Source organism: Homo sapiens, chromosome 7 (assembly GCF_000001405.40).
Source record: "Homo sapiens chromosome 7, GRCh38.p14 Primary Assembly".
Taxonomy (NCBI): Eukaryota; Metazoa; Chordata; class Mammalia; order Primates; family Hominidae; genus Homo; species Homo sapiens.
Window position 1 is genome coordinate 57108699 of NC_000007.14, and position 8161 is coordinate 57116859.

The window sequence follows — 8161 nt, forward strand, 5'->3', positions numbered from 1 at the left end:
ATACCTAAACAATGATATAATTTAATTCCAATATTTATTTTATATATAATCTCACAGTATTCTAAAAAATTAAATTGTTTTTGCTTTGGAATATTATTTTCTTGTGTTCATATGGTTGTATTGTAGATCTTATATTTTGTGTAATAACAATAATATATTAATAACATAAATAACTTTACCTAGTATCTTTTAAATACTTTAAAAGGTTCCATTTTCATTAGACTTTTTCTAATTCTTCTAATGTATTTTTTTGTGGAAATTTACTACTATACATTGCATGCCAATAATTAAAAATGCCAGATTTTCATAAGTTCATAGTCATATTTGAAAACTGTAATTATTTAAAGAATTATTTTCTGATACATCTATGCTAATATTCCATATTTTATAGGTCAACATGTTTTATTTTTGTTTTTAAGTCCATTATACTGCATTTTTTTCGTACAGGTTTCTTTTGATTATTAAATTGTATTTTTGTTTTTAACGTTACATTTATGATGTGGAAGGTAATTTTCATTCGGTATTATTTATAAAAATGCGGTGTTTAACAGGGCAGGGCACGGTGGCTCACGCCTGTAACCCCAGCACTTTGGGAGGCTGAGGCAGGCAGATCACCTGAGGTTGGGAGTTTGAGACCAGCCTGACCAACATGCAGAAACCCCGTCTCTACTAAAAATACAAAATTAGCTGGGCGTGGTGGTGCATGCCTGTAATCCCAGCTCCTCGGGAGGCTGAGGCAGGAGAATTGCTTGAACCTGGGAGGTGGAGGTTGCAGTGAGCCAAGATCATGCCATTGCACTCCAGCCTGGGCAACAAGAGTGAATCTTCTCCGTCTTAAGAAAAAAAAAATGTGGTGTTTAACTCAAATATAAATCCCTGGGTTTCACTTGGAGCAAATTTTAAAAAAAAGTATAAGTCAGATATTTCTTATTTTTGTTTGTTTGTTTGGATATGGAGTCTCGCTCTGTCACCCAGGCTGGAGTGCAGTGGCAGGATCCAGGCTCACTGCCACCTCTGCCTCCAGGTTCAAGCAATTCTCCTGCCTCAGCCTCCTGAGTAGCTGGGACTACAGGTGCCCACCACCATGCCTGGCTAATTTTTTGTATTTTTAGTAGAGATGGCATTTCACCATGCTGGCCAGGCTGGTCTTGAACTCCTGACCTCATCATCCACCTGGCTCAATCTCCCAAAGTGCTAGGATTACAGGCGTGAGCCACCACGCCCAGCCCCGTAAGTCAGACATTTCTATTGCCTATAAAAGTTACTTATGTGATATTTGCGTGTATAAATATTGATCCATTTTCTTTATTAGTTATCTTGTTTATTTCTTTTCTCAGGTGGTTGTCAGTGTTCTATTGTCTGGATGAATAGTCAGAAAGGCAGTCTAAAATTACTGTCTATTTATTGTTTGAATCTATGTTATTGTGTGAGAAAAACACTTGGTATTTGAAGTAATTTTTGAAAAATGCAACTATTTTTTGAGAGTTGTAAATATTTGTGATTAAAAACATAAAATTACCGTCTTAAACATTTTAAAGTTATATACTTAAGCTATATGTTTAGTACTTTTAAGTATATTTACATTATATGAAACAGATCTCTAGATAATTTTATCTTTAAAAAGTACAATCTAATGTTCAATAAACTGTCTTCTCCTTCTCTCTTTTCCGCGTCTGAAGAACATCATTTTACTTTCTGTTTTGTCTGTCTCTTTTTGACTATCTTATTTTAGTCAACATATTTTTTCCTGCGTCTTTAATTTTAACAAATAAGTTATTCTCCTCTCAGTTCAGATTCATCAGGAAATTGAATCATATCCAGAAGAATTAAAACTAAAAGACTAATATGTTTGTTAAAGCAATGCAGGTTGTCATACTAATAAACCCTACAATTTCAAAGGCTTAGCAAAATAATACATTTTCTGCACAAACCACCTTCCCCTTTGGTTTACTTCTGGTTAAAAAAAACTTCTTCATGATTATTTGGAGATTAGATTTTTTTCTAAATTTTCTATCCACATTCTCCTCTTTCTAAAGCCAATAGATCAAAAAAGATGAAAAGAAGACACATTTGCTTTTTATCCACACATCACTTCCAGTCACTATGCCGAGCAGAGTCAAAGTGAGCAGAGCTCAGAATAGCAGTTTTCTGGCAGGACAGCCACTTCTTGGCAAAAAATGACACAATAAAAGCATAAATCTTTCATGGAAAGCTAACATGTTTTCAACAAATTAAGCATATGCACGAATACAATTCTTGTGGTAAAATAAAGATTCATTTTGTTGATTCTTATTAAGCTCAGGTAATAGCAAATAAAAAGGCAGCAAACATAGAGCAAAAAAAATTATTCGAAATAGAAATAATGTGGATTAAGATATTCTGTCAATTAAAGTAAAAATATTTTTATCTCATACTAATCATCTTACTATAGTCGTATAATATCAAATGCTACCTTTTATTAACAATTGTACTTCATATAAGTATTCCATTTATATCACCCTTCTTCACTGTTTCAATGCCTTCTGCACTTCATATCAGTGAAAAACAGGCTGGCTGGTACCAGGAAATGGATGTGGTGCTATTGCTACTTTAAGAGTAATGATGAAGAGCACTTGTCTGAATTGTTCCCATGTGGCAAACACTGTTATACGGTCTAAAGTAAACACATTTATTATTTTCTTCTAAATTTACTGATGAAATACAATTCTCAGCTAAGGAAGACTTGATCTCATTCAAATACATTTTGTGAAATTTGGTTGACATTTCAGTGCCTTTGACTTAAATGGCATATTGAAAATTTCTATGAATCCAAATAGAGTGTTATACACGAACAGTCTTTTATTAAAAACCTTTCTGGGTTGGGTGCAGTGGCTCATGCCTGCAATCCCAGCACTTTGGGAGGCCGAGGCGGGCGGATCAACTGAGGTCGGGAGTTCGAGACCAGCCTGACCAACGTGGAGAAATCCCGTCTCTACTAAAAATAGAAAATTAGCCAGGCATGGTGGCACATGCCTGTAATCCCAGCTACTCGGAAGGCTGAGGCAGAAGACTGACTTGAACCCGAGAGGCAGAGGTTGAGTTGAGCCGAGATCACGCCATTGCACTCCAGCATGGGCAACAAGAGTGAAACTCCGTCTCAAAAAGAAAAAAAAAAAAGGCTTTGTCTTAAGATTCATAAAATTTCTTCATAATATAGAAGAAATGTGTTAACTATGTTCCCAGTAATCAACTCTGAACACTGAGCATTCTCAGTTTCCAGTATTCACTCTGAGTCATTCAGAAAAGTTGGTATCTCTGTAAGGAGTCAGAAAAATGTGTTTGGGGAAGGGTCACAACATTGCACATAAATGCTTTCTACCTGCACCTCTTAGGATCTTAATCTAATTGGTCTATCATTTGCATGACTAGATAGTTACTGGATCTAATCATACTATTTTGTGTTTTGCAGATAATGACATCTGTTACCTATAAGTTTCATACAACAATTTGCTCAGCTGAAACATGAATCTTTTGCTAATTTACCCGAAATTGAGGGACTAGATTTGCAATTTCTAATCTTTCAATGTTAGAGCAAAGTAGAGAAGAGTGATGTGTGTATGTGGTATGCATTTTCTTACTTAACTATTAAAATTCTTCTCATATTGCCTTGGACACTTTAGACAGCCACCCAAAAAATATTCCCTACTGCTTTTTTTAGCCAGGATATTAGATTTCAAAAGGTCAAGGACTTAATAATTGGGCTAAGCCAAAATCTTGCCTTTGCTTCTTTCAAAGAGCATGGCAATTATGCCAAGCCATTGAAAGATGTGGATCTGATGACTTTTATTTGATTTCAAATGTTTTTTCTAATTGTTTGCTCTAATTGTCTTATTGTGTTAATCTAAAAGAGAACCTATCTACATAACAACTTATGCATTCACGAAATGTTCATGTTACGATGATCAAAGTTCAATATTGTAGTATAGAATAGTAGAATAGTCTAAAATTAGAAAGTCAGATTATTATTAATAAATTCATTATTTTTTTCAACATTTTCCAATGTTGAAATTAAAGAATTGGCAAGGCTTTTTCATGATAAGTTCAATTCTAGGATAGTACTCACTGGTCTGCATGGTATTTTTTTCCTTTTTTTGGCAGGAGGGGATGGAGTTTTGCTCCTGTTGCCCAGGCTGGAGTGCAATGGCATGATCTTGGCTCACTGAAACCTTCGCCTCCAGGGTTCAAGCCAGTCTCCTGCCTCAGCCTCTTGAGTAGCTGGGATTACAGGCATGCACCACCATGCCCGGCTAATTTTATATTTTTAGTAGAGACGGGGTTTCTCCATGTTGATCAGGCTGGTCTTGAACTCACAATCTCAGGTGATCCACCCACCTCGCCCTCCCAAAGTTCTAGGATAACAGGCATGAGCCACCGCACCCTGCAGGTATCTTTGTCATGAATTATGTAAATCTGAGTTACCAGAATGGTGCAGAAGTGCCAATGCAATCAGAATGAAAATGAATACGGCCTTGTTGGTAGACTATTGGTATCCCAGAGGCTGATCATTTACTTCAGCTGTGTAGACATTGCTTCATAACGCCAGGGAGCCCTTTCAACCAAGTTGTCTTTATTTCCCATTGATGAGGTCATGTTCTGGTCTCTGTTTTTCTTAAGCTGTCCCAGATGAGGGGTGATTATTTCTTGCATAAATGAGATCCCTTCTTTTTCCTCTGCAATGAGATCCTCCTATTCTCCTTACTGAAAGCAATATGTTGAAGGCAGAAACGGAGACAATATACAAACATATACCTTGCCATGTGGCCACCATAAACACTTTACGACATTGCTTACCAAGAAGTTTGATTAATTTCAGGGAAGCAGGGATGTTTTTCTATGATGTGCTCTTTCTCTTAAAGCACCTCTGATTAAGTTTAGCCTAATCAAGATAATCTCTCGTATGATAAAAAGGAAGCCAATACATTAGTAATATAAATACATGAATACTGTTTTGCCACAGTCACACACATTTTGTGATGCTCAAGAGAAAAGGGTTACACAGCAGGTGTGCACTGAAGTGGGAACCTGAGGGTCATCTGAGAATTTTCCCTACCCACCTGAATAGATTTCTAAAATCACCTTTCAGTTGCTTTTGCTGTCTTTCTAAGTAAACAAAGATATCATCTCCAAATAATAATTAATTGAACTGCTTTTCAATTGTATTCATTAAAATAATTATCTTTTTCTGGCTTATATGAAGTATTTCTTATTTGTAATATACATTCACATATATACAAATATATAGCAATACAAATGTATCCATTTTCATTTTTGTTAAATTTTTAAGAATGGATGTTAAAGGTAACTTCTTTTCTGTTTGAAGTGTTTTTATTGTTTTATTCAAGAGTATTATCTCTGGAGTTAAAGTTGATACTGTTTTAATACTGGCTCTGCTATTGTGAGCAAGTTATTTCTCTCTCTGGCTCTTTTCTTTTTTTTTTTTTTGTAAATTGAAAATAATAGTGACACCTTTGTTATTAAGTTACTTTGTCTATTAGTCCATTCTCACACTGCTGAAGAACACACCAAAGACTAGGTAAATTATAAAGGAAAGAGGTTTATTTGACTCACGGCTCAGCATGGCTGGGGAGGCCTCAAGAACCTTACAATAATGGGAGAAGGTGAAGGAGAAGCAGGTATCCTTTTCACTAGGAGATGGAGAGCAGGAAAAATTACCACTTATAAAACCATCCAAACTCATGAGAACTCACTCACTATCACAAGAACAGCATGAGTATCATTCTGCCTCTGGCCCCTTCCAAATCTCATGCCCTTTTTATATTTCAAAACCAAACATGCTTTCCCAACAGTCCCCCAAGTCTTAACTCAAGTTAGCATTAACCCAAAAGTCTAAGTCCAAAGTCTCATCTGAGACAAGGCAAATCCCTGCTACCTGTGAGCCTGTAAATCAAAAGCAAGTTAGTAACTTCCAAGATACAATGGAGGTACAGGCATTAGATAAATTCTCCCATTACAAATGGGAGAAATTGGCCAAAACCAAAGAGCTACAGGCCTCATGCAAGTTTGAATTCCAATGGGGCAGTCATTAAGTCTTAAAGCTCTGAGATGTTCTCATTTGACTCCATGTCTCACATGTGGGCCATGCTGATGCAATGGGTGGGCCCTCATGGCCTTGGGAAGCTCCTTTATGGACTGGAATTGTGTGCCTGTGGCTTTTCTAGGTGCACGGTGCAAGCTCATGGTGAATCTGTTATTTAGGGGTCTGGAGTACAGTGGCCTTCTCACAACTCCAGTAGGCAGCTTCAGTGGGGACTCTGCATGAGGGCTCCAACCCCACATTTCCCTTCTGCATTGCCCTAGCACAGGTTATCCTTGAGGGCTCTGCCCCTGTAGACTTCTGCCTGAACACCCAGGCATTTTTATACATCCTCTGAAATCTAGGCAGAGGTTTCTAGAGCTCAACTCTTGTCTTCTGTGCACATGCATGGCCAATACCACATGGAAGCCACCAAGGCTTGAGGATTGCACTTTCTGAAGGAACAACCCAAGCTGTACTTTGGCCCCTTTTAGCCACAGCTGGATCTGGAGCAGCTGGGATGCAGGGCACCCAGCCCCAAGGCTTCATAAAGCAGTGGGGCCCTCCCTGGGCCTCGACCATGAAACCATTTTTTCCTCCTAGAGTTCCTGGCCTGTGATAGAAGAAACTGTCTCAGATCTTTGACATGACCTGAAGACATTTTCCCCATTGTCTTGGCTATTAACATTCAGCTTCTCTTTACTTTTGTAAATTTCTGCAGTGGCTTGATTTTCTTTCCAAAAAAATGGGGTTTTATATTCTACCTCATGGTCAGGTGCAAACTTTCCAAACTTTTATGTTCTGCTGCCATTTAAAAATTAAGTTTCTCATCTCCATCTGAGACAACCTCAGCCTGGACTTTATCATCTACATCACTATTAGCATTTGGGTCAAAAGCATTCAACAAGCCTCTAGGAAGTTCCAAACTTTCCCATATTTTTCTATTTTTTTCTGAGTTCTCTAAACTGTTTCAACCTCTGCCTATTACCCAGTTCCAAAGTCACTTCCACATTTTCAACTGTCTTTATAGCAGTGCCCCAAACTACCTGTATTAATTTTCTGTATTAGTTTGTTTTCACACTACTATTAAGTTACTACCAGAGAATGGGTAATTTATACAGAAAGGAAGTTTAATTTACTCACAATTCTGCATTGCTGGGGAGGTCTCAGGAAACCTACAGTTACGGTGGAAGGCAAAGGAGAAGCAAGTACCTTCTTTACTAGGCAGCAAGAGAGAGGCAGAGCAGAAAAAAACACCACTTATGCAACCACCAGATCCTTTGAGAACTCACTATAATGAGAACAGCATGGGGGAAAATTACCCCCATATTCCAATCACCTCCCACCAAGTCCCTCCCTTGAAACATGGGGATTACAATTTGAGATAAGATTTGGGTGGGATAAAATTTTACGGTAATGAATTCAATACAAGTCACAGAATATAGATTTTTTTGAGAATCTCTGAGGTTTCCAGGTTTCTCTTTAATTATCCACCTTATTAAAATAATCTTTTTTGTTTCAATATTGTTCTTCTGTTCTGAAAATGCATACAAACTCACACACAAACACACTCACTTGCTACATAACTTTCTTATATGTGTGTATATATATATGTATATATATTTATTTATTTTTTTAATGGTGTCTCGCTCTGTCATCCTGGCTGGAGTGCAGGTCTGCCACCTTGGCTCACTGCAACCTCTGCCTCCCAGGACCAAGCGATTCTCCTGCCCCAGCCTCCCTAGTTGCTGGGAATACAGGCATGTACCACCACACCCAGCTAATTTTTTGTATTTTTAGTAGAGATGGGGTTTCACCATGTTGGCCAGGCTGGTCTTGAACTCCTGACCTCAAATTATCTGCCCCACTCAGCCTCACAAAGTGCTGAGATTACAGGCATGAGCCACAGTGCCTGGCTGATATATCTTTAGAGTAATATATTTGTATATATAACTCTATGTAAATCAAAACTAAAAGTCTGTTTTTGTTTGTCAGCAGAGAGGCCACAAGTACCAAAAATATACAAAACAATTTTTAAAAAATATTTAATCAAGACTCAGAAATGTATATTAATTATACTCATGCAAT